General features: G+C 37.3%; 1 protein-coding gene and 1 pseudogene across 1 annotated transcript in view; one reads left to right on the top strand and one right to left on the bottom strand.

The window, feature by feature from the left end:
• The window catches only part of ZNF732 (zinc finger protein 732), a 34,800-nt gene extending 22,014 nt beyond the window's left edge, over positions 1-12,786 (top strand). The window contains exon 4 of the mRNA NM_001137608.3: positions 10,831-12,786. Within this exon, the coding sequence (NP_001131080.1) occupies positions 10,831-12,362 (1,532 nt within the window). The 3' untranslated portion in view covers positions 12,363-12,786. The remainder of the gene's footprint in view (positions 1-10,830) is intronic.
• On the bottom strand, positions 19,205-20,641 carry LOC100533733 (endogenous retrovirus group FRD member 1, envelope pseudogene; annotated as a pseudogene).

The raw sequence follows: 27,434 nt of genomic DNA, 5'->3' as shown, positions 1-27,434 counted from the left end.
TATACTCTTTTAGTTATTACTGGCATGGAATTTTTTTTTCATCCTTGAACCACTAACCTATGTATTTCCTTAAATCTAAAGTAAGTCGCTTGTGTGCAGCATGTTGTTGATTTTTTAAATCTATTCAGACATTTCGCGAGTGTTTTAGTTTATTTTTTGCATCAATAACAATATCCTACAGTTGGTAATTTATAAAGAATAGAAGTTTCCTTAGCTCACAATCTGGGATGCCAAGAAGTCCAAGAGCATGTCATTCCCATCTGATGACAATCATATTTCCACATCACAACACGAGCTCACTTTTATGATAGACCCACTCATGATGACTAACCCACTCGTGGAATAATGATACTGATCCTCTCATGACCTTATAACTTCTTAAAGGCCTCACTTATTAATTTTCTCACAATGGCAGTTACATTTTAACATGAATTTTGGAGGGGGCACTCAAACCATAGCAATGTGATTTTATTGGCTAACTAAATTTTTTTTATATTTAAAGGAATTACTGATTGATAAGAACTTATTACTATCATTTTGTTCATTGTTTTCTAACCATTTAGTAATTTCTGTTTTTTCTTTCATGCTGCCTTCCCTTGTATGGTGTTGAGTTTGTTTCATTTTTCTTGTTATATGCTTTAATTTCTTTTGTGTGTATGTATCTTCAACATTTTTTTTTTTGTAATTTCCAAGGGACCATAAAATATCTCATAGTTTAAAAAGTCTAGCTTAAGGTAACAATCTAACTTCTTTTTTACCCACATAGGATCTTACTTTGTTTCCCAGGATGTAGTGCAGTGGTGGGTTCACAGCTCAGTGCAGCCTTGAACTCTCCAATATCAAACACTTTTCCCATATCAGCCTCCCAAGTAGCTGGGATTACAAGCACATGCCACCATGTCCAGCTAATTTTTTTGGTATTTTTTGTAGAGACAGGGTTTTGCCATGTTGCTCAGGCTGGTCATGAACTTCTGGGCTCAAGAAATCTACCTGCCTTGGCCTCCCAGAGTGCTAGGTTTATAGGCATGCATTATCAGGCCCAACTGCTTCTTTTTAAAAAAAGAATAAATAGCTTTCTGAAATCTTTATTTTATTTTATTTATGTATTTATTTTAGAGACAGGGTCCTGCTATATTGACCAGGCTGGTTTTGAACTCCTGGCCTCAAGCAAAAGTGAACTTCTATGTATAAAAATATTAAACAGTTTTACTCCTTTCAACACACTATTTATGTCACACTTTACATCTTTTTATATTATATACCATTAACAAATTATTGAAGCTATATGCTTTATTCACTTTTTTAAAAAAAGTCTATTTACGAACTTTCAAATGACTTTTAAGTTTGTTGATTTTTCCCCTTCTGTATAACTGAGTCTCCTGTTAAAGCTTTCTGTTAAATATTTTAGTTCTACTATTGTGTACTTCAGCTCCAGCATATCGCCTTGGTTCTTTGTTAATGGCTTATCTTTCTTTATTATCATTGGTTTTCTTCATGCATTGTTGCAAAAAATTTAGTAATATGTGTACTTTTGCATCTTATCGAGATTTTTAAAGATAATTATTTTAAATTCTCTGTTAGCCATTTTTTAGATCTGTGTTTTATTGTTAGTGCTTCCTGGAGCATTTTTAGTTTCCTTTCATGCTGTTATGTTTGCCTGATCCTTCATAATTCATGAGGCTTTGTTTTGATGTCCTTGCATCTGAAGGAGTAAATACCTCTTTCAGTCATTATAGACTAGTTTGAGGAGGTAAATATCTTCTCCCATTGGATTTCTGGGCTGATGAGATTTCCACTGAGGTTGCAATAAAGTGCTTTGGAATCCGGGTCACGTAGCTACTACTGGGTTTGCAGTGAAATTCCTGCTTGGCAGACCTGTCATCAGGGCATCAGACAGTTGTGGATTCTATTTTCTGAGAAGACTGAACTTTCTTCAAGATGTTGATCAATATGACTGGCACTGAGGAAAAAAGCCTCCAGTTATATATGCAGATTAAGGTGCTGATACAATCAATGTGAGCAGGTGTGGCTCCTGCTGTGTCGCTCTTGCGAGGTGTTTGGAAATGCTCTAACCTAGTCATTGGACAGGTTCCTAGATGAGCAGTAATGACCCTTGATCACAGCTGAGAGGGTATGAAACTGATTCATGCGGCTGCTTCAGGATACACAGCTGAGACCAAAGTGTTCAGGTCTTTTTCTGGGTTAACGGTATTTCTCCCTGTGGATTTCTAGGTGGGTAGGACTTCTTCCAGACTCTAGATGACAGAGACCAGAGCTTGGTTATAGGACTGCTTTACAATTCACAGTGGGAATAAAGTCAGCCAGCATGCCTACAGGGGCACATACAGGTGTGCTTTTTGGCAGGTCCCAGGTTAGGAAAAACTTCTTCTGGACTTGGTTGCATGGACTTGGAGCCAGCTTATAGTGCCACGTCAAGATCCACTGTCAAATAATTATTGGCAAGCCTACATTCGGGCACAGATGGATGTTTCTCTCTGTGGGTGTCTGGGCAGGATTCCTTCCACACCATGACTGACATGTGTAAAGAGTGGATTTGGGGCTAATTCAGAGATCACAGATAGAACCAACTTCTAAAGGCCTTTCACCTGAGGCATAGAACATTAGAAATTCTCCTAGGTGTCTTTGCAGATGGTGCTAGTAGCAGGAACAAAACCAAATGGTCTGCAGCTAAGTCTACAATGAAAATTGGACACATTTTATTCTGTAGCTGGGACTGTGATGGGCAAGCATGCCACTCAAGCAAGGGCATGCCTTTTCAATACAGCCCTCCTCAGTCTTGGGTTCACAACCCTTGACATGGATTCCAAAGCTCCCATAAATTTCCTTTTTCAGGACATAACTGCTGCTTTTTTTTGGCAGAATTTTTTGCTCTTGTTGCCCAGGCTGGAGTGCAATGGTACCATCTCAGCTCACTGCAACCTCTGCCTCTCGGATTCAAGCAATTCTCCTGCCTCAGCCTCCCGAGTAGGTGGGATTACAGGCATGCGCCAGCCACCACACCCGGCTAATTTTTTTGTTTTGTATTTTTAGTAGAGATGGTCAGGCTGGTCTCGAACTCCTGACCTTGAGATCCACCTGCCTCAGCCTTCCAAAGTGCTGGGATTACAGGTGTGAGCCACTGCAGCTGGCCGTTTTTTTTTTTTTTCTTACTGCTGTACATTGCATGTCAAAGATTCAAAATGCTGGATCTTCATAAGTACATAGTCACAGTTGAAAACTGTAGTTGTTTGAAGGATTGTTTTTATGATACATCTACATCTATATTCTATATTTTATAGGTCAGAATTTTTTATTGTTTTCAAACTCTATTTTACTGGGGAGTCTTTTTTCATGTAGGTTCTCCTCAATTATTTTTTGTTTTTAATCTTCATATTTGTATGGTAATTTTCAACTCTGTACCTTTTATGACCATGTGGTGTTTAATTCAAATAAAAATCATTGGGTTTCACTTGGAGCAATTTAAAATATATGTGTAATTCAGACATTTCTATAGCCTATAAAAGTTATCTATGTGGTGTTTGCCTGTGTAAATAATGCCCCTACCTGGTTTATAAATTTTTCTTTCTGGTGGTCATCACTGTTTTCTTTTATAGGTGAGTAGTCAAAGAAACAGTAAAAAATTACCACCTATTTATTGTTTGAGTATATGTTATTCTGTGAGAGAAACACTTTTTATTTGAAGGTGATTTTTGAAAAATGTAACCTTTTTAGGTAGATGTAAATATTTAGTTGTGATGAAAAACCTAACATTGCTTAAAGGTTTTCAAGTGTACAGCCTAGTGGAGTTAAGTACATTTACATTATTTTGAAATGGATCTCTAGATTAATTTTATCAAAGTAAAGTTCATACCTCATAAACAATAAACTGCCATTTTTTTCTCTTCAGGTCCTGAAGAACACCATTTTACTTACTATTTCTATAATTTTGACTGATTTTTATATTCTTATTGGTGTAATTATATAATATAATGTCTGGTTGTTGTTTTTTTTTTTTGAGACGGAGTCTCGCTCTGTCACCCACGCTGGAGTGCAGTGGCGTGATATTGGCTCACTGCAAGCTCTGCCTCCCGGGTTCACGCCATTCTCCTGCCTCAGCCTCCAGAGTAGCTGGGACTACAAGCGCCCACCACCACGCCCAGCTAATTTTTTTTGTTTTTGTATTTTTAGTAGAGACAAGGTTTCACCGTGTTAGCCAGGATGGTCTTGATCTTCTGACCTCGTGATCTGCCCGCCTCGGCCTCCCAAAGTGCTGGAATTATAGGCATGAGCCACTGCACCCGGCCCCCATGTCTGTTTTTTTTTTCACTATCTCAGTTTACTTAACATAATGTTCTCAGGCTTTGTTTTTGTAAGATTGTCCTGTGCGGGAAACGCGTGAGGGGAGAAGAAAAGACACACACACAATATCTTTAAGGGTAAACAACCTTTATCCCATGTAAATGGCAATGCAGATATATAAGCAAATGATACAATAAGCAAATTGCAATGGGAAGGGGAGAAGGAAAAGGAGATATATATATTTACATTTACCAGACTATGGAGGATTCACCACCAGACTAGGAAGCAATAGCCTGGGCTCCAGAGTCAGACACTACACTCACCAGCCTGTGGAGGATTCACCACTAGACTGGGAAGCAACAGCCTGGGCTCCAGAGTCCGCCACCCTTCCGTGCACAGACGAAGAGAGGTCTCATGTAGCTTCGGCATGGTCTGGGACCCTAGCTCTTTTTGTAATGAGTTGTTTGGCATGAGGCCCAGTCACAAGGGCCCTTTGTGACTGGACTCAAGGAACACAAAAAGGTCAAATTGTGTTTGCGATTGTCTATTGTTTTTCAATAACTAACATATAGGAATAGATTGAAATAGAAATTTCTTTGAAACAGTGCTGGGGGCTCACACAACCCATTCTGGGATTTGGTGACCATTGTTTGTCATGTTCAGTTGAGTTCAAATTTAATATTTAACTTTTCCTCCACAAAGATGTGTCAGAATATCTGTTTTAAAATAAAATATTGTATGTATGTCACATTTAAAAAATCTGATATTGATCTCTAAAGGGACATTTGTGTTGTTTCCAGGAATTGTCTTTTGCAAATAATAATTAACATGCATGTGTAAATATGTAAAGTCCTGCCTCGGATATTTTTGGTATATTTTGGATACAGTGATGTGGTACCATGTGTGTGTCCATATTTTTTTTCTTAAGCCTTTGATGTTGTATTCAAAAAGTTATTGTTGAGACTAGTTGCATAAAGCCTTCCTCATAAATGTTTATATTAGATTTCACATATGGGTAAGATCTTTTGTATTTGTCTCAGTGTATCTTTTATTTCACTTAACGTAATGGCCTCCAGGTTCATTCCTGTTGTGGCAAATATCAAAATTATATTCTCTTTTGTAGCTGAATAGTATTTTGTTGTGTATATATACCACATTTTCTTTATTCATCCAAGTTTTGGACACTTGGATTGATCGAATACCTTGGCTATAAATAGTGTTTTAATAAACATTGGAGTGTAGATTTCTCTTTGACATACTGATTTTGTTTTCTTTAGCTACAAACAAAATAGGACTAACGTATGTTCCAGCAATCCCATTTAATTAAAAAATTAAAAATAGAACCTGTGATCCAGCAATTTGAATTTTTTTTGTGTGTGTGTGGTAGTTCATGGTTTATTGTCTAGGTGGGGAGTCAAAGAAACAGTGTTAAAATACCATTTGTTGATTGTTTAAATATATGTTATCCTGTGATACTTGTTTTTTTTCTATAATGGCTCTACTAACTTACAGTTTTACCGTGTTTCCTTTTCTATTCATTCTCACTAACATTTTTTTTTGTCTTTCTAATTACAGTCATTCTAACTGGAGTCAAGTCTTATATTGTGGTTTTGATTTGCATTTCTCTGACAATTAGTGATGTTGAGCATCTTTGCATGTACTTTTTGGCCATCTGTATTTCTTTTGAAAAATGTCTCTTAAGGCCTCTTGCCTATGTTTAAATTGTGTGTTATTTTTGTTAAGTTTGTTATACTGTAAATTTATCTTTTGTCATGTACATTTTGCAAATATTTTATTTCATTGTGTAGATTACGTCTTCACTTTGTTAATTGTTTTCTTTACTGTGCAAAGCATTTTTAGTTTCTTGTAATCCCGTTTGCATATTTTTGCTTCTTTTGCCTGTGATTTTGAGGTCTTAAGATTCTTTTCTCTGTACTATGTGGTAATGCATTCCTGTATGTTTATTTCAAATAACTTTATAGGTTTGAGTTTCCCATTTAAATCTGTATTTGTGATTGAGTTTTTTATATTGTAAGAGGTAGGAGCCTAGTTTTATTTTTTTGATTATCATGTAAATAATTTTCATAGCACCATTTATTGAAAAGACTGTCTTTTTCCAAATGTGAGTTCTTGACATTTTTGTTGAAAATCACTTGGTTCTAGGTTCAGGAATTTATTACTGGGCTCACTGGATAGTTTGATCTGTCTATGTCATTATCATGCTGTTTTGCTTATTATAGCTTTATAGTATATTTTGGAGTCAGGTAGTGTGATGCTTCCAGCTGTTTTTTTTTGTCCCCCCCTTAGGATTACTTTTGCTATTTGGGGGTCTTTGGTGGTTCCCTGTGAAGTTTAAGTTTGTTTTTTCCATTTCTGTGAAAAAAATCATTGGTATTTTGATAAGAGATTGCGTTGAATCTATAGATCACCTTGAGTAGTATAGCCACTTTCATATTTTTTAATTTTATGAGCAATATATATCTTTCAAATTTTCATGTCTTTTTCACTTTTTAATTATTTACAATTTTCAGTGTAAAGAGTGTTCACCTTTTTAATTATGTTTGCTACTAGAAATCTTTATTTTTTATTGTTGATGCAGAAGCAGCATTTGGCAACATTGAACATGTCTTTGTGATTTAAGAAACTCAACAAATTAGGTATAGATATTATGTACTTCAGTGCAATAAAGATTGTATATGACAGATTAATGGCTGAAATCATACTGAATAGGAAGGAGCAGAAAACTTTTTATCTGAGATCTGGAACACAACAAGGATGCTTTTATTTAGTATTATTATTGTCTATGACAGCATTCAGCTATGTACACTGTAAGACTGTGGAGCATAAGTCAAATATGGATCAGTGATATATCTATTTCCAATATAAGAGTCTCTGTGTTTATCTCTCTGCATATTGTTTCCCTATTGTTTTTAAGTTGTATACTTATTTTGTTTGTGTGTAACAATGGTGGTTTTACCCTGCCTAGGTGAGTAGTCATTGAAATTCTCCTAATTTTACCCTCTATTTATTTGTAAATCTATATTTGTGTGTGTGTAACACTTTTGTGATTTGAAGATAATTTCCAAAACTCATACCTCCATCTCTTTTATATATTGTTTTCAAAAATGCATAACATTTAAAATCTTATATATTTTTAAATATTCAGCTTAGTCATTTTATTAATAATTTTATGCACTATATTTTTAGAATATGTTTATCTTGCAAAGCTAACACTCAATATAACTACCTACTTTTTCTGTTTTCTCACTCTACACAAACAATTCTGTTTTTTATTTTAAAGTCAAACTGCTTTAGATATCTCGTGTAAGTTGATTCATATAGTTTGTCTCTTCGTGACTTTTTGTTGTATAATGTCATCAAGATTTATCTTTATTGTACTTGTTTATTTTTTGCTTTTTACAAACTGAGTAATATTTCATTATTTTAATAATTGAAATTATATTTCTCAATTTATTTAGTGAGAGAAATATGCGTTGCTGTTATTTGCTTTCAGGAACAGTGCTGCAATAATTATGAGTGTCTAAATTACTCTTCATGTGACCATGTGTGAGAGTTTATATTTTTGCCAGATTTTATTTAGTTGATCTAGCTGTTCAGCTTTATACCTATCCCAGATTGCTTTAATTCTTTAGATTTGTATGTGTTTTGAAATCAGGAGCTGTGAAGCCTCTGAGATTGCTTCTGTTTTTGAAGATTGTTGGGTACTTCACTGTTTCTTAATTCCATATAATATGGGAATTGTTGTTTCTATTACTACAATAATTTAATTAAATTTGACAGGGATTGCATTTAATCTGTAGATTATATTGAGCAGTCTAGATATTCTCATTATTTCAAACTTTGAACAAGAGCATGCTTAAGTGTGTGTTGTTTAATTTCTATAAATATGTAAATTTTTTAGTTTTCTTTATTTCTACTCTCATTCCAGTTTGGTCATTAAAAGTAATCTGTAAAATTTCAATTTTAAAACTTTAAGACTTTTTTTGTGCCCTGACATGTAGTCTATCAAGGAGAATATTGTATGAGGTATTGAGAAGGGTGTGTATTTAGTTGTTGCTGAGCAGTGTTCTCTACAGTTCTGTTAGGCGTAATAGTTTAATACTGGTTTCAAGTCTCCTGTTTCCTTATGAATATTTTATCTTGTTTCATTATTCCTTACAGAAACTGGGGTATTTAAATATCCTACTATAGTTATATTGCTGTCTTTGTCTTAATTCTGTGAGTATTGGCTTTGTATATTTGGAACTCAATGTGGGGGAGACACACACACATATTAACGTATGTATAGACATGTTTGTCATTAGTTCCCAGTAAATGAACCTTTATTATTATTATTGTTTAATGTCCTTCTTTCTTATGACTTTTTAAAGTATATTTTATGAAATAGGACAGTTTTGACTTAAGATGTACTTTGTATTACATAATTTGGACCTCTTATTTGGTTATTTGCATGAAATCTCTTCTTTCATTTTGCCTTTTTCAGTCTTTTTAAATCATTACATCTCAAGTGACTCCTGTAGAAAAGCAAGTTGGATCTTGTTTTTTAATTTTTGCAGTCAATCCCCTTATTTGGTGCATGTATTTTGAATGGAAACTTTACTTCATAAATATTTGAATAATTTGCTGAAATAGACTTACTCATCTTATTGTTTTACTGGATTATTTTATCTTTGTCCCTTATTTTCTTTTTCTGTCTTCCTTAGTCTTTTTTATTTTTGTATTGATACACCTTTAATTCTTATTTTTTGGTGTATCTATACAGATACTTTTTTTCTGGTATCTTGAGAATTACATAAAATTTCTTTAAGTTAAAATAATATATTTTAAACTGGTAAAAACTTAACTTCCATTGAATTTGAAAATTCCTCCTCATTACATCTGCCCTCAACTTCATTATTGATGTCAGTAATCATATTGTTGTTGTGTATTATTACCAGATTATGATGAACAGTTTATGATCATTTTTATGCTTTCCTCTTTAAAATTTTAGAGAATAATTACAATATTTTCTGTAATATGATAGTGGTACAGAACTTTGTGGATGTGCATATCTTTTTCAGAAAGCTATATATTTTCATATGATTATGTTTGGCTTTCTTACATTATGTTATTTTCACTGGAAGATACTTTCTTGAGCATTTTTTTGGTAAGACGTGTTGTGCTAATATACTTTTTCAGCATTTGGTTATCTTGAAAGGTCTTTATTCTTTCTTCATTTTTAGGACAGTTTTGCTGGTTATATGATTCCCACATAGAAGTTTTTTTTTTTTTTCCTAGCACCTTAACAATATCCCAATTCTTTCTGTTGCGAAATAGTTTTGTTGACAGATTCACTGGTAATCTTTTAAGACCACAGTTATAAATGACACATCACTTTTATTTTGCAGCTCCTAAGATGTCGTTTTTGAGTTTGATTTTTGAAACTTTGCTTATATATGTGCTTTGCTGTAAATCTGTGTGTGTAACCTTGTTGAAGTTTGTTGAGCTTCTTCCGTTTTTATATCCTTTTTTAACTTGAAAATTTCTGTCTTTATTTTGCATTTTTCACCTTCATGATTTGTTTTTTGTTTTTAATGTTTTCATTGATGTTCTCATTTTTCTGATTACATTTAGTTGTACGTGTTTCCATTTAGCTGATTCAGCATTATTCAGGTTACATTTTAAAAATTTGTACATCTTTGTTTTTATGGTTGTTTTCTGAAAAATTTTAAATTGTTTAATTAGACCATGTTCTAATATTTTGTATACATTATAATATTTGCTTGTTATTTGAACATTAACCAAAAGCTATTTATCACAACCTTTACAATGTTGTTTTCTCCTGACATAGTCTGAAGCCAGTTGTCTTTGATACGGATTATAGTAACCTCTCATACATGTTGGAAGGATGTGTCTTGTCTAGAATTTTGTGTTTATTTTTTAGTTAAAAGGGTTTGTTCATGTTTCCTCTTAAGAGTCTTTAATCACTTGGTCTGTTGTCTGTATTTAGCACTTCAGTCTGCTCTTGAAACATGTACATTTGGTCTTAGCAGACCCAACCTGTCCTTCCTAAGTATATCACCATTTCTTTCAGCACTCTTTGTTATTGGAGGCAGAAACCAGTTTTTGTAAAGATCCCCAAAAGCCAGAAGTAAGGATACGTGTCAGTATTTTTCTTTTCTTTTAAGTAAGAAGACAGGAGTTGACAGTTTACTTCTAATGGCACAGTGCTATATTGGGGAGGAGGAAGAACTGTGGTTGGTAAATGTAACAAACTTTGTATCCTGTTCTATGTGGCTCTTGGCATTGTGCTTACCTGAGGCATTGCATGTAACTCATTTATAAATTTCACTAAAAGGCATTTTGATCAGTATATGTTTGTTACATATATATGTCTGTGAAGAAATTATGGCCTGTGGTATTTTGTTATGCCATCTTACTAATGTACTTTGTATAAGTTTATATATTAGATTTTTAAAGTATATTCGTATGAATCTAGTAAGCAGGATAATTTATTTTTATTTCTTTCAGCTGTGTGTTCTCATTTCACCCAAGACTTTTTGCCAGTGCAGGGGATAGAAGATTCGTTCCACAAACTTATATTAAGAAGATATGAGAAATGTGGACATGAGAATTTAGAATTAAGAAAAAGCTGTAAAAGGAAGGTGCAGAAAGGAGGTTATAATGAATTTAATCAATGCTTGTCAACTATCCAGAGCAAAATATTTCAGTGTAATGTACATGTCAAAGTATTTAGTACATTTTCAAATTCAAACCAACGTAGGATAAGACATACTGGAGAGAAACACTTTAAAGAATGTGGCAAGTCATTTCAGAAGTTCTCAGACCTAACTCAACATCAAGGAATTCATGCTGGAGAGAAACCCTACACATGTGAAGAATGTGGCAAAGACTTTAAATGGTATTTAATCTTTAATGAATATGAGATAATTCATACTGGAGAGAAACCCTTCACATGTGAAGAATGTGGCAACATCTTTACCACATCCTCAAACTTTGCTAAACATAAAGTTCATACTGGAGAGAAATCTTACAAATATGAAGAATGTGGCAAAGCCTTTAATAGGTCCTCAACCCTTACTAAGCATAAGAGAATTCATGCTGAAGAGAAACCCTTCACATGTGAAGAATGTGGCAAAATCATTACCTCATCCTCAAATGTTGCCAAACATAAGAAAATTCATACCGGAGAGAAACTCTACAAATGTCAGGAATGTGGCAAAGTCTTTAATAGGTCCACAACCCTTACTAAACATAACAGAATTCATACTGGAGAGAAACCCTACACATGTGAAGAATGTGGCAAAGCCTTTAGTAGGTCCTCAGTTCTGAATGAACATAAGAGAATTCATACTGGAGAGAAGCCCTACAAATGTGAACAATGTGGCAAAGCCTTTAGACAATCCGCAACCCTTAATAAACATAAGAGTATTCATACTGGAGAGAAACCCTACACATGTGAAGAATGTGGAAAAGCCTTTAGTCGGTTCACAACCCTTAATGAACATAAGAGAATTCATACTGGAGAGAGGCCCCACAAATGTGAAGAGTGTGGCAAAGCCTTTGGATGGTCCACAGACCTGAATAAACATAAGATAATTCATACTGGAGAGAAACCTTACAAATGTGAAGAGTGTGGCAAAGCCTTTGGATGGTCTGCATACCTGAGTAAACATAAGAAAATTCATACTGGAGAGAAACCTTATAGATGTGAAGAGTGTGGCAAAGCCTTTTTATGTTCCAGAGCCCTGAATAAACATAAGACAATTCATACTGGAGAGAAACCTTACGAATGTGAAGAGTGTGGCAAAGCCTTTGGATGGTCCACATACCTGAGTAAACATAAGAAAATTCATACTGGAGAGAAACCTTATAGATGTGAAGAGTGTGGCAAAGCATTTAGACGTTCCAGAGTCCTGAATAAATATAAGACAATTCATACTGGAGATAAAACCCCCAAATGTAAAGGATGTGGCAAAGCCTTTAAGTGGTCCTCATACCTTAATCAACATAATAAAATTTATACTGGAGAGAAACTCTAGAAATATGAAGAATGTGGCAAAGCCTTTGGATGATCCACAAACCTGAATGAACATAAGAAAATTTATACTGGAAATAAACTATACAAATGTGAAGAATGTGGCAAAGCTTTTGGATGGTCCACAACCCTGAATGAAAGTAAGAATTCATACTGGAGAAAAACCCTACAAATGTAAAGAATGTGGGAAAGCCTTCAAACAGTCCGCATACCTGAATCAACATAAGAAAATTGATGCTGGAGAGCAACCCTACAAATGTGAAGAATGTGGCAAAGCTTTTAGATGGTCCACAACCCTGAGTGAACATAAGAAAATTCATATGGGAGATGAATCCTACAAATGTAAAGAATGTGGGAAAGCCTATAAACGGTCCTCACCCATAAATAAACATGAGAAAATTCATAATGGAGAGAACACCTACAAATGTAAGGAATCTGGCAAAGTCATTACCTCATCCTCAAATTCTGCTAAACGTAAGAGAATCCATACTGGTGAGAAACCCTATAAATGTTTAGAATGTCATAAAACCTTTAATAGCTCCAAAACCCTAATTGAACATAGGATTCATACTGGAGAGAAACCCTACACATGTGAAGAATGTGGCAAAGCCTTTAGACAGTCCGGAAACCTTTATGTACATAGGAGAATTCTTTTTTTTTTTTTTTTTTTTTTTTTTGAGACGGAGTCTCGCTCTGTCGCCCAGGCTGGAGTGCAGTGGCGGGATCTCGGCTCACTGCAAGCTCCGCCTCCCGGGTTCACGCCATTCTCCTGCCTCAGCCTCCCGAGTAGCTGGGACTACAGGCGCCCGCCACCACGCCCGGCTAATTTTTTTGTATTTTTAGTAGAGACGGGGTTTCACCGTTTTAGCCGGGATGGTCTCGATCTCCTGACCTCGTGATCCGCCCGCCTCGGCCTCCCAAAGGGAGAATTCTTACTGGAGATAAAACCATACAAGTGTAAAGGATGTGGAAAAGCCTTTAAGCTGTACTCCAGCATTCTTAAACATAAGAGAACTCGTACTGGAGGAATGTCTTACCAATATGAAGAATGTGGCAGTCTTTAAATGTTCCTCAATCTTTTCTAATCGTAAGATAATTCATAATGGAGAGAAACTCCAGAAATGTGAAAAATATGAGAAAGCTTTTAACCACACCTCACTGTGTTCTAAACATAAGATAAATGATATTGATGAGAAGCCATATGAAAAATTAAAATGTGGCAAAGACTTCAAATTCTCTCTTTTTTTTTTTTTGAGACAGAGTCTTGCTCTCTCCCCCAGTCTGGAGTGCAGTGGCACGATCTTGGCTCACTGCAAGCTCTGCCTCCTCGGTTCACTTCATTCTCCTGCCTCAGCCTCCCGAGTAGCTGGGACTACAGGTGCTCGCCACCATGCTAGGCTAATTTTTTGTATTTTCAGTAGAGACGGGGTACCACCATGTTAGCCAGGATGGTCGTGATCTCCTGACCTCGTGATCCGCCCATCTCAGCCTCCCCAAGTGCTGGGATTACAGGCGTGAGCCACCACGCCCGGCAGACTTCAAATTCTCATCACATCTTACTGTATGTAATTACTACTGAAGAAAAGTAGAAATACAAAAAATGTGGCAAAACTTTTAATCAATGCTCATATCTTTTTGCATGTGATAGCATTTATACATGAGAATAATTGCACAAATATAAAAATACAAAAGCCATTAATTTCTACTCACATCTTACCAGATATCAGAATTTATGGTTAACAAAAGCATTATAAATGTAATTTCTGTTGAAAGACCTTTTAGAAAATATAGGCCATTAAAGCGAAGAAGAGTATTCTTAAGACAGACAATACAAATATAAAGAGGGTGTAGTACCTGTACTTGTATCCTGGATCTTACTGTACACATTTTGTACTAGCGGAAGACTCAGAAGCAGTTGCTCAAACTTTGTTCAACATCAGAGAATTTACATTGGAGCGAAATACGACAAATGTAATAAATGTGGAAAAACATCTGTTCAAAAACTGCAGGTTAAGAAACACTAGAGAGTTTATATTAGAAGAGAATTTGTAGATGCAATAAATGTGGAGAAATATTTAGGCTAAAATTAAGCCTATGTAAACATCAGAGGATTTACTGGAGAAAGAACTAAGGAACTAACACCTTACAAGAAATCGGAGTATTAAGTGTAAAAAAATCCAAAGTTCAACCTGTTAGAAACTTTCTTTGTTGGCCGGGCACGGTGGCTCACGCCTGTAATCCCAGCACTTTGGGAGGCCGAGGCGGGCGGATCACGAGGTCAGGAGATCGAGACTATCCTGGCCAACATGGTGAAACCCCATCTCTACTAAAAATACAAAAAATTAGCTGGGCGTGGTGGCGGGCGCCTGTAGTCCCAGGTACTCAGGAGGCTGAGGCAGGAGAATGGCTTGAACCTGGGAGGCGGAGCTTGCAGTGAGCCGAGATCGTGCCACTGCACTCCAGCCTGGGCAACAGAGCAAGACTCCACCTCAAAAAAAAAAAAAAAGGTTCTGCGTATATAAGTTGAAAAGAAGTAGATTTTTGAAGAGATTTCGTTCAAAGTATATTTTTTTACTTGAAAAAAAGTATAGATTTTTTGAAAAGCAAATAATTCAAATCCAAAATTATAGTATTTCAGTTTTCTCATTTATGTGAAAGCATGTGATGAATTATTGCTGCACCAGAGATATGAGAAATTCCATTAGGTGGGCAGTATTCATGAACTTTTACATGAAAGAGAAAAAACAAATGAAAGATGCCTGAGGAAAATCTAAGCAGAGAGGATTTTTGTGGTTGACTTAGAGTGATGCATGAAGTAGGTGTTCAGAGTAACATTTTGCATTATTGTGAGAAACAATCTGAATTTTAGTAGTAAATTGTTTTACCAATTGTACATTTATTTAATAATAAAATGCTGTAAATTTTAAAATTGTCTTTTAAGATCATGTGTGAACTTAATTTTTTTTTTTTGAGACGGAGTCTCAATCTATTGCCCAGCCTGGAGTGCAGTGGCACAATCTTGGCTCACTGCAACCTCCGCCTCCCAGGTTCAAGTGATTCTCTTGCCTCAGCCTCCTGAGTAGCTGGGATTACAGACACACACCACCAGGCCTGGCCACATTTTGTATTTTTAGTAGAGACAGGGTTTCAGCATATTGACCAGGCTGGTCTTGAGCTCCTGACCTGGTGATCTACCCGCCTCAGTTTCTCAAAGTGCTGGGATTCCACGCGTGAGCCATCGCGCCTGGCCTTAATTTTTTAAATAAAATTATTAATGTGTAGAAATTATTGTGCCTTGAATGATGTGTTATGCCACCAACTTTCACCTATTCCACCTTACTCAAGGGTGTAGGTAAGAGATGCTAACAATGTACTATCTGATAACATAGCTGAATGACATTTCTAGTCTATTTTTCCAATGGCTTTAAACAGCAAGTAAACTGAATATTGTTCCCATGTTGCATTTTTATTCTTATTTAAATTTTTAAAAAGTTTTTGTGGGTACATAACTATGTATATATTTATGGTATATATGGGTTATTTTGATACAGGCATACAATATATAAATGACAGAGTAAATGAGTTATTCATTATCTTAAGCATTTATCTTTTTTTTTTCTTTTTCTTTTTCTTGGGACAGAGTTTCGTTCTTGTTGCCCAGGCCAGAGTGCAATGGTGCGATCTTGGCTCACTGCAACCTCCACCTCCCAGGTTCAAGCAATTCTCCTAAATCAGTCTCCTGAGTAGCTGGGATCACAGGCATGTGCCACCATGCCTGGCTAATTCCCCCCCCCCCCCCCCAGACGGAGTCTCGCTGTCACCCAGGCTGGAGTGCAGTGGCGTGATCTTGGCTCACTGCAGACTCCGCCCCCCAGGGTTCACACCATTCTCCTGCCTCAGCCTCCCAAGTAGCTGGGACTACAGGCGCCTGCCACCTCGCCTGGCTAATTTTTTGTATTTTTAGTAGAGACGGGGTTTCACCGTGTTAGCCAGGATGGTCTCGATCTCCTGACCTCGTGATCTGCCTGCCTCAGCCTCCCAAAGTGCTGGGATTACAGGTGTGAGCCACTGCGCCTGGCAACCTGGCTAATTTTGTATTTTTAGTAGAGTTGGGGTTTCTCCAGCATTTATCTTTTATATTACCCACAATCTAATTATACACTTCAATTATTTTTAAATGTACAATTTTTTCTACTACAGGTCATTTTATGATTGTAATAAGTATATCAGAGTATAATTATAATTCATACATTCCTGAGTCCTGAATGATTTTCAAAAATGTTTCATATTTATCTTTGGACATGCATCATGTTCTCCTGTAAACATACAGACTTAGTTTTAATTTACATGGAGTTAAATATATAAATGTTGTGCTCTAAAGATAAACCTTGGGTGTAAGAAAATTATGAAGCAAGCAATTGTGTTTGCATGAGAGTTTGTACCTATTTTCCGAAGAAAATAGCAATATTGGAACAAAGAAGTTTCTATTAATACTGTGGATAATTTACTGGAAATCTAGAAACCTAAAACATTTTGAATTAAAATCTATGTTTTCTTATTTTTATGTAATTACTGTAAAATCTAATGGATCATTTTTGAGAATCTCCCTGTAAAAAGTCTCTGTTTTAATGTGGTGCTCATGCTAGAGGTATAATTTTCTTGTTTCTCATTCTTTTTTTTTAACTCCATAAAGTATGTGGGCTGGTCAGAAATTATAAAATTTTTTTAAAAAGTTAGTGCACAGAAAATACTTTTTAGATGTAATTTTACAATGTGTATAGTTATATTTTATTGGAACATTTAATTTTCCTTATATTTCTTTTTTTGTTTTTTGAGACAGTCTCACTCTGTCACCAGGCTGAAGTGCAATGGCATGATCTTGGCTCAGCGCAACCTCCGCCTCTTGGGTTGAAGCGATTCTCCTGCCCCAGCCTCCCAAGTAGGTGGGACTACAGGTGCACACCACCATACCTAGCTAATTTTTGTAGTTTTAGTAGAGACAGGGTTTCACCGTGTTGCCAGGATGGTCTTGATCTCTTGACCTGGTGATCCACCTACCTCGGCCTCCAAAAGTGCTGGGATTACAGGCATCCGCCACTGCACCTGGCCTCTGTTTTTATTTTCTAATTGTCTTTAGTTTTCTGATGTCTTCATGTGTTTATCCCCAGCTATGTATGCTTCACTGCTCTTCTTTGTGTTATGGCTACAGTTTCCTCACTGTTCTCTTCATGCCATGTAATTTCACTTGGACTTTCTAGGCTCTGATGAGAAGTTTGGAATTTTTAATGTATATTGTTTTTAACTGGCGTGTTTGAGATTATAGCTTATCAATGCAACATTCAGATCATGTAATTGAGGTAAGACTAATTCACTGTCCACATGTAAGAGGATTAAGTGAGCACCGTTTTTCTCTTTGTAAAAGAAAAATTGTATGAGAATCTAACACAAAGTGTGTTAAATGTAACATACCTTAATATATATTAAAGCATAAATATAAGTTGGTTGCAGATTGTAAGCACCATATGAAGAAACACATCAGAAGTTTGAAATCTCTTAAAATATATCTTTGAAATAAAATTTTTAAGACTTAATGGTAGATGAAGAATTTTACATATAATTTTCTATGACATAGCAAAACTTATTTTTTATGCAGAATCTTCTATTTTTGACTAAATGTTAAGTGTTGCAAAAATAATAGAATGATCTGTGTAGATTCAAAATCTGCAATGATCTTTTTTTGTTGAGATTCGTATTGCAATCTTGAGTTTGAAATTTGTTTTGGTGGATGCAGTTCATGGGGTACAGTTTTTATTTTTAGTCATCTAACTTTATCCAAGTTCTTGGTCACCTTCTCTAGAAAAAATTAGGCGATTATGGCAGCTATTGAATTCAAACATTCATTAATTCCATTAATGTAATTCAGCATATATAAGGTCCTCAGCTATTGTTTTCTTGAGAGAAACAATTCAGCCCAGAGACAATTAGTGAAGCAAGCAGAGAGTTCATTAAAGGAAAATAAAGAACACACCAAAGGAGGAGTGGATTGGCTCAGCTGGAAACAGCCCTGAGATTTACATGTTGCAGTTTTTATTATTATAGACTTAAAAAAAATTCCCACCTCTGTCTTAAGTGTCTGCCTTTGTCTTTGTGGAGTTTCCTGCTTCCTGGTAAATCTCTTCTTTTATCCTCACTGAGTTTCTTCCCAGGTCTATGAGATGCTTCCTTACTGTCGGCTGATGTACATGTGTGAGTTCCAGTGATCAATGAGTTTTGATGGCAGAATAGCTTATTACCACTACCCTAGGAAAGTCATATAGCAGTCAAATCTGTACTTACTACGCCTGCATATCTCTTAGGAAGTTTCCTTTTGCCCTTTCCCTCTTTTTGTCAGCATATAGCTAGCTACATTCTGACAGTTTAATCACAGTATGAGCAATTATTGGGTGTCTTAAGGGGTGTTTCTGGGTATTCTTTCTTCATGGGTATTTCCTGTCCACTCTGCTCAAATTTAGCGTACATATCTTGGGTTGTCTTTGGAGCATGAGATTTTTCTCCCCCAGGGGCTTTTTCCTGCTCATGTCTAACTGCCTCCTCTAACGTTCCCTCCTCAATAGATTGAGACTCCAAAAATCTTTGAGTCTAGGGGCACTGTGGGTCTTCTGTAACTACTTCCTGGTAATATGAGATAAAGAATTCATCAGTATCTCATTCTCTTGCTTTTTGTCAGAAAAAGATTCCATCCATGTTCTCCCAGAAGGTTGAACTTGCATTGTCCAGAGGAAATGTGTAGGGACATGGCTGTGCAGATTGGGGGAAAATAGGTCGATATTCCTGTTGCAGGACCATTTGAAGTCTGAGAGTTTCTAGGTGAGAGGAAACGAACCTGGTTACTAGATTTAGTGAGCAAGGCTCACAAAAGAGAGAAAGGAAGACAAAGGCTAGGGATCCCCAAAAAGTGGGATGTCATGAGAATTGGAACCAAGTGGCACCCCAAGAGAACTAGCTTTCAGTGGCATGTTTCTGATGGTGACAGGCCTGGTTTGTAAAACCTCTAACATGGTCCTGGACTTTCCCTAATCTGTTAACCCAGAAACAGCATTTTTCTCCTAGCATAAGGCAGATTCTTTCCTGAGCTGCAGCAAGACCTCTACAATTTCAAACTACAGCCACGAGATAATCAACTTGTTGGTGTCACTCTGTAAGAGTCTGAGCAGTAGTTTTTATTTTGTGAGTCAGTTCCAGAGACAGGTTTTGGTAAGTTGAGGAGGCAATAATTATGCCAGCTATTCCTATAGTGGCACCTGAGATGCCAAACTCAGGAAAAAAAAAAAAAAAAGATAAACTGCTTAGTCGATCTGGTGTGAGGTAGTAAAGGGTAACAGCAAGGAAGCATCAACCGGGACAATGGAAATGTTAGGGGTGAAGGAAGCCAGAGTGCTTGTGCTCGTCAAGTTTCCAGAGAGACAGAGATAAGCCTGCATTTCACACAGGAAGTAAAGTTCTGTAGTCGATAAAAATGGATGCAGAAGGTGAGGTCAGTTCCAAACATTGACCAGGGTCCTTGTTGGCTACCCGACATGTGAGATCCTGCCACTAAAGTTGCTGCTGCCAGGGGAGCCAGACATGGGTCCTATTTTTTTTTTTTTAAACATAGGCATGTTTCTAGTAGTGTCAAAGAAAAGGATTTTCTGAAAGAAATTAAAGACTTGAAACCTTTTGCATAATTTATACTGGCTTGGTCAACACCATGGGTTGGGTTGACTCCAAGAAGGGTGACTGACGCAGAACTCAGAGGCATCATTTTGGATGAATGGTCCAGGTGTTAAAACATTTGGAGGGAGAATAGAAAATCTCATTTGATGTTGAGAATATTTAGTGAAACAAAATTTTGAGAAATATCAATAATGGTGCTTGTTGTGTTGCATTGTGCTGGGTCTAAAGCACCCACAATGGATCTGGAATTTACAGTAGCACAGATGTATAGGAGTGCCTGGCCAATGAGGGTAGCAGGGGAGAACAAGGGGCTTGAATCAATGGGGGTGGGTTTAAGAAAATCTTTAAAAGCTGCTTTAGGTTGTATTAAAAATATTATGTTAGCAGAGGGAAGGTTTTTGTATAGAGAGGTCCTGATGATAGGTGAAGCTAAGTTGGGCTTGAGAAGTTGCCCATTCTTGTATTGTGGCCAAGTAGGCCATTCCCACCCTGAATGAAGAGGAATTCATGACTAGCTAACAGGTTTGAGGCATAGGAAGAATTGGTAGAGTTTAGTAGTTGTGGAGTTGCCTGCAGAGTGCAACAACAACAACAAAAGAGTATGAGTAATGACCAGAGAACATTAGGCTGCATGGTTCAGAATAGGGCCAAATTGAGATGCTTGTTAAGAGCAACTGTTAATGCAATGATTATTAGAGAGATCACTACTCAGATTATGGCTTTGATGTGTAAATGTAGGAGGGACATAGGAAACTTCCCTGGAGAGGGTGTTGGTTTACAGTAACAAAGGTTTATTAGTAAGTTTGCAAAGAGTATTAGGACTTGCAATATAAACACCAAAGTATTACTAACATTGCTGATGGACTAAAGCAGTCAAAAGTAAAATAACTAAATTAGGTTAAAAAATTAGTATTAGATGGCTGGGCACGGTGGCTCATGCCTGTAATTCCAGCAGTTTGGGAGTCTGAGGTGGGCAGATCATGAGGTCAGGAGATCGAGACCGTCCTTGCTAACACAGTGAAACCTGTCTCTACTAAAGATATAAAAAATTAGCTGGGTGTGGTGGCAGGTGCCTGTAGTCCCAGCTACTCAGGAGGCTGAGGCAGGAGAGTGATGTGAACCCGGGAGGCGGAGCTTGCAGTGAGCTGAGATAGCGCCACTGTACTCCAAGCTGGGCGACAGAGCGAGACTCCGTCTCAAAAAAAAAAAAAAAAAAAACTCTTAATGGAACTCCTGGTGGTGCACAAGTTAGGGTGAAAGTAAGAATCAACAGCACCACTGCAAATAAGATTGCCATTATTGGGATCACTCTACTTTGAGGTAAAAGGAGGGAGAGCATTACTTGCCATTATTGGGATCACACTACTTTGAGGTAAAAGGAGGGAGAGCATTACTTATCTTCTCATTTGGAGAGAAATTTGTAAGTCCTCCTGTGGGTCACAGGAGTAGGTAAGTGTTGGTTCAATCTTTGGTTCCTTAATGTGTTTCCAGTTGTATTCAGAAGTAATGTGTCCAGCTAGGGATGCCAGGAAACTTGATAGCTATTGGGGTGGAAATTATGATAGTAACATTGTTCTTTTGTGACGGGGTTAGTTGAGATCTGAGAGATCCATCTCTCCAGACTTTAATGATGACTTGTTTTCCTGCCTGGTTATATGGGTTGTTAGGGGGGTTAGACTCAGAATTCTGTCCAAACTCCTGGACGACCTCTTGAAATTAAGTCAGGGATTTTATGTACTGGGTTAATTTCGTAACCTCTGGGTATAATATTAGGTTTGCATGTAGAAAGGGTCTCCAGTATAGGACTTCAAAGAAACTAAGCCATAGACGTAATTTAAGGGCTGTTCTGATCTGAAGAAGTGCCATGGGTAGAAGTTTTAGCCATGGTAAAGAGGCTTCCTGGCATCATTTGCTCGAGGTCCTTTTAATAGCTTGATTAGTCCTTTCTACCTTCCTGGAAGATTGTGGCTTTCAGGAGGAGTGTGAAAAGTATTATATCCCTAGGGCTTTTGCCACTGTTTGGGTAGTTTGTGAAATAAAATATAGGCCATTGTTACTTTGTGAAGACTGTGGAGGCTCAAAGAGATAATTTCTTTCAGAATGATCTTGACAACTACCTGAATCTTTTCTATTCTAGTATGAGAGGCTTCAACCCAGGCAGTAAAGGCATTCCCAAGGATCAGGAGATATTTCTAGCCTCGATAGGCTGGCAATTAATTAAAGTCTACCTACCATTCTTCCCACTGGGTAGGTTTCTTGTTGCTGAACTGGCTGAATAAAGAGGAGTGGCATAGGGCCTGGAGGATTATTATAGACCCAGATGGACAGGCTTTACAAACTTGTCAAAAAGAGGAGTTTTTTGTTTTTTTTTTGGTTATAGCTGATGGAGATGGCCTCTCCTACAGAAACAAGAATTATGGAGTGCCCTTATTGCTTTCTGCTGGAGAACCTGGGGGAAATAAAGAACCTCTCCCAATTTATACAATCTTTCAGTCCTAGAGTATATTCACATTTGATACCCCATTGCAGGGTGGGCAGGTTGTTAGGCAAAGTTGGGATAAGGGCCATAAGGAGTTCCCCGGAAAGGGTGGTGGCCGTTGCTGCTTGGCCGACCCTCCTGTTTCTCTAGGTAATCTCATCTTGGCATTTCTGGTAGCCCCAGCAATGAACTGCAGCTTTCTGTGGTAGGTGGATAGCCTAGGGTAGGGTAAAATATCTGTGACCCATATTTAGTAGGGGTATCTTTTGCTGTCAACAATCCTTTCTTTCCAAATGGTGGCATAATTGTGGAATACTAAAATGGCATATTTGGAATCTGTATAAAAAGTACCTAACTCCTTGGTTCTTTTCTAGTTCTAGGGCTCTGGTCAGGGCTATGCACTCTGCTGAGCTGAGGTTCCCAGAGATAAAGTTTTATAAACAAATAGTTTAAAAGTAAGATAATTGCTAGTATTAGGCAAAACTGAGAAAAAGGCACAAAGGATACTAATATAGAGTGAAATAATTAACTCAAAATTTGTATCAAGAAAGTAATAAAATCATAGTGTACTGCTTGCCTTTGTAGTAAATATTTGATTAATTACAGCATTTGCTGACTACAGGTTTACGTAAAAATCATGCTATAAATATTCTGAAGTGCTGGAGGGGTGGCAAGGACAGTTGAAAGAAAGGTTGTTCCCAAGTACATGTCAGTAGCAAAGAGCAATTTCTAGAGTTTATATAGTTTCGTTAGAGGAAGTATTTCTCCTTTATGTATCATAATTTATACATTTGTGTAGGGACCAGCCCCACAGGGTCGGTGGGTCTCTCCCCATGTGTGGAGATGAGAGAGTGTAGAAACAAAGACACAAGACAAAGAGATAAAAGAAGGCAGCTGGGCCTGGGGGACCCCTACCACCAAGTCATGGAGACCCGTAGTGGCCCCGAATGTCTGGCTGTGCTGCTGTTTTTTGGATACAAAGCAAAAGGGGCAGGGTAAAGAGTGTGAGTCATCTCTAATGATAGGTAAGGTCACGTGGGTCACGTGTCCACTGGACAGGGGGCCCTTCCCTGCCTGGCAGCCGAGGCAGAGAGAGAGGGAGAGAGAGTCAGCTTATGCCATTATTTCTGCATATCAGAGACTTTTAGTACTTTCACTAATTTTGCTACTGCTATCTAGAAGGCAGAGCCAGGTGTACAGGATGGAACATGAAGGCGGACTAGGAGCATGACCACTGAAGCACAGCATCACAGGGAAACGGTTAGGCCTCTGGATAACTGCAGGCGAGCCTGACTAATGTCAGGCCCTCCACAAGAGGTGGAGGAGTAGAGTCTTCTCTAAACTCCCCTGGGGAAAGGGAGATTCCCCTTCCCGGTCTGCTAAGTAGTGGGTGTTTTTCCTTGACACGCTACCGCTGGACCACAGTCCGCCTGGAAACGGGCGTCTTCCCAGACGCTGGCGTTACCGCTAGACCAAGGAGCCCTCTGGTGGCCTTTTCTGGGCATAACAGAAGGCTTGCACTCTTGTCTTCTGGTCACTCCTCACTATGTCCCCTCAGCTCCTATCTCTGTATGGCCTGGTTTTTCCTAGGTTATGATTATAGAGCGAGGATTATTATAATATTGGAATAAAGAATAAGTACTGCTGATTAATTATATTCATATATAATCATATCTAAGATCTATGTCTGGCGTAACTATTGTTGTTTTACATTTTGTTATACTGGAACAGCTCGTGTCCTCGGTCTCTTGCCTCTGCACCTGGGTGGCTTGCCGCCCACACATTTGCACACACATATAACAAAAAATGTATCAGTTGATTTAATTTTGTTAAATATTTACTAAGAATGGGTGTTGAAGATAATCACTTATTTTCTGTTTGAAGAGGGTGTTTAACAAAGAGTGTTTTCTCTGGAGTCAAAGTTCCCTGTGTTTTAAAACTGGCTCCACTGTTGTGAGCAAGTAATTTTTCTCTGTGGCTCTATTTCTTTCTCTTTAAAATAAGGATAATAATAATGCCTATGCTATGGAATTACTGTGAAAATTAAATTTATTAACACAGTGTTATGGGTAGTGTTTAGTACAAATTAACTATTAATAAAATGTGTAGGCCGGGTGTGGTGGCTCATGCCTGTAGTCCTAACAGTTTGGGAGACTAAGGTGGGCAGATCATGAGGTCAGGAGTTCGAGACCAGCCTAGCCAATATGGTGAAACCCTGTCTCTTCTAAAAATACAAAAATTAGCCGGGTATGGTAGCTCATGCCTGTAGTCCCAGCTACTCAGGAGGCTGAGGCAGGAGAATTGCTTGAACCCGGGAGGCAGAGGTTGTAGTGAGCCAAGATTGCACCATTGCACTCCAGACTGGGTGACAGCGAGATTCCATCTCAAAAAAATAAAATGTGTAAAAGCTGGATTTCATTAATACATGCTTTAACACCGAAGTATCTTTTCATTACATGATTTGTTCAATAAATTGATGCATATTTCAATTCATTTTTTCAAAATATGGTATACACAAGGAAATACAATTCAGGATTAAAAGTAAGGAAATCTTGTCACTTAAAACAATATGAACAAATTTGGAGGACAGTATGCTAAATGAAAATAAACCAGACAACAGAATGCTGCTTACCAGATACTTGGTTATTTAGAAAAAAAAGCATTTGGAGGGATGTCTGTAAAATAATACATAATTACAGATGTCCAGGTGGAATAAGTTCAAGAAATCGATTTTACAGCATGGTGACTATAATAATGAATTGTATTTTTGAAAAATGCTAAGACAGTCAATGTTATGTGCTCTCATCACAAAAATAATTACTATGTGAATTACCTAGAAGTAAGCCTTTGACAGCATATATATACTTCAAAACACCATGTTCTACAAGATAAATACATACTTTATCTGTCAATTAAAAATGCATTTTAAAAGCCATCACAGAAGAATAATGTTTCAAATGCTGGTCTGTCTTTGAGTATTATCAAAAATAGTTTTTGTGCTGTTTTTGTAATATAATAACCACAGAAACTCTAATATTTGCCAGCATGTTTGAGACCCAGAACACTATATAAGACAAGATGATGTACTCTGAGACCCAGAACACTATATAAGACAAGATGATGTACTCTAGGGCTTTTGCTTTAAGTTTGAAGCACCTGGAGTTTCTAATGCTGATGGTAATTATAGGGAAGACATTAAAAGGGTAACTTGCTAAAGGTCCCATAATTGTCCATTCTGTGACCAAAGTAAGTAAATTTGCATTAAAAATCACTGAGAAAATGATACTCTCCAAAATTTTTCCAGAGAAGGTTACCAAGGACTTGGTTAAAGTTAGTTAGATGACTAAGAATGAAAACTGTAGACCATGAACTGCATCCACTAAAATAAAAAATCATAAGAGAAATTCCTCAGGATTGCAGTATCAATCTGGACAAAAAAGATCATTCCAAATTTTGAATCTACAGAGACCATTCTATTATTTTCCAACACTTAAGATTCACATTCAAAAATAGAAAATTCTGCATGAAAAAAGTTTTGCTATAAGTATGTCATAGAATATTAAATGTAAAATTCTTCTCTACCATTAAGTCTCCTAAAAAATTTACCTCTAAGATACATTTTCTCTGAAGAAATTTCAAAATTCTGATATTTTCTTCATATGGTGCTGACAATATGCAACCCACTCATATTAATGCTTTACCTAGTCTTAGTGTTATGCTTAAGACAGTTTTAGAATCTCAAAAATTTTCTTTCATAAGCAGAAAAACAATGCTGACTTCTCTTACCTGTGAACACTAAAAGACTTCTCAAGCAATCTAAATGCTGCATTGAGAAGCTATAAATAACCTCAAACAGTCCCAATTAGGAACAATTTACCATATTAAAAAAAGTCGAACCTATCAGAACCTGGAAAGTCCATGTGAAATTACATGGCATGAAGAGAACAGTGAGAAAACCGTAGCCATAACACAAGGAGAAGAGCTGTGAGGCATACATAGCTGAGGATAAACATAAAACAAATCCTCTTTAAGGAGCGCCTCTGCCCAGCTGCCCAACTTTCTGGGAAGTGAGAAGCACCTCTGCCCAGCTGCCCCACTGTCTGGGAAGTGAGCAGCGCCTCTCCCTGGCCCCCAGCCCTGTCTGGGAATGAGAAGCGCCTTTGCCCGGCCACTGCACCGCCTGGGACGTGAGGAGCGCCTCTGCCTGGCTGCCACACCTTCTTGGACACGAGGTGTGCCTCTGCCTGGCGGCCGCACTAAGAAATGAGGAGTGCCTCTGCTCGGCGGCCCTACCATCTGGGAGTAAGGAGCGCCTCTTCCTGGCTGCCCCACCATCTGGGAAGTGAGGAGCATCTCTGTCCAGCTGCTGCACCATCTGGGAAGTGAGGAGAGCCTTTGCCCAGATGCTGTGCAACCCTCCAAGTGTGAAGTGGCAGCCTTGTATGTGATCTTTATGTCCTCCCTAAGTTTGCATTTTTGACATTAAAGTTTACTTTTAAATTAAAAAAAAAACCCTCTTTAAATTCAGAATGAGTCAGTTTTGCAGCCTGGGAACAGATGTCCTCTCCACATGCACAATTAATGCCATTTCTTCACTATAGACATTTTCTGTCTCTTACTTGCAGCTACAAACTGACTCCAGAAAGAATATTTATGGCTAATTATGGAGCATCTATTACACACACAGCACTTTCTTATGTTCACTACAATTTTATATCAAAACATCTCCATGACTTAAAAGATTTCCCAGTACTTACCTGAACAAATTGGCACACAATACATAAACTCATTTATGTCAAGTAAAAAGTGAAAGGAACAACTAAAGAAAACGGTTCATATAGAGTTCTCCAGTTAAAGCCACAAAATGAAATTTTCTAACTAGAT

Source organism: Homo sapiens, chromosome 4, assembly GCF_000001405.40.
Source record: "Homo sapiens chromosome 4, GRCh38.p14 Primary Assembly".
Taxonomy (NCBI): domain Eukaryota; kingdom Metazoa; phylum Chordata; class Mammalia; order Primates; family Hominidae; genus Homo; species Homo sapiens.
The sequence above is the reverse complement of the archived record's forward strand: the minus strand, read 5'-3'. Positions and strand labels throughout refer to the sequence as shown.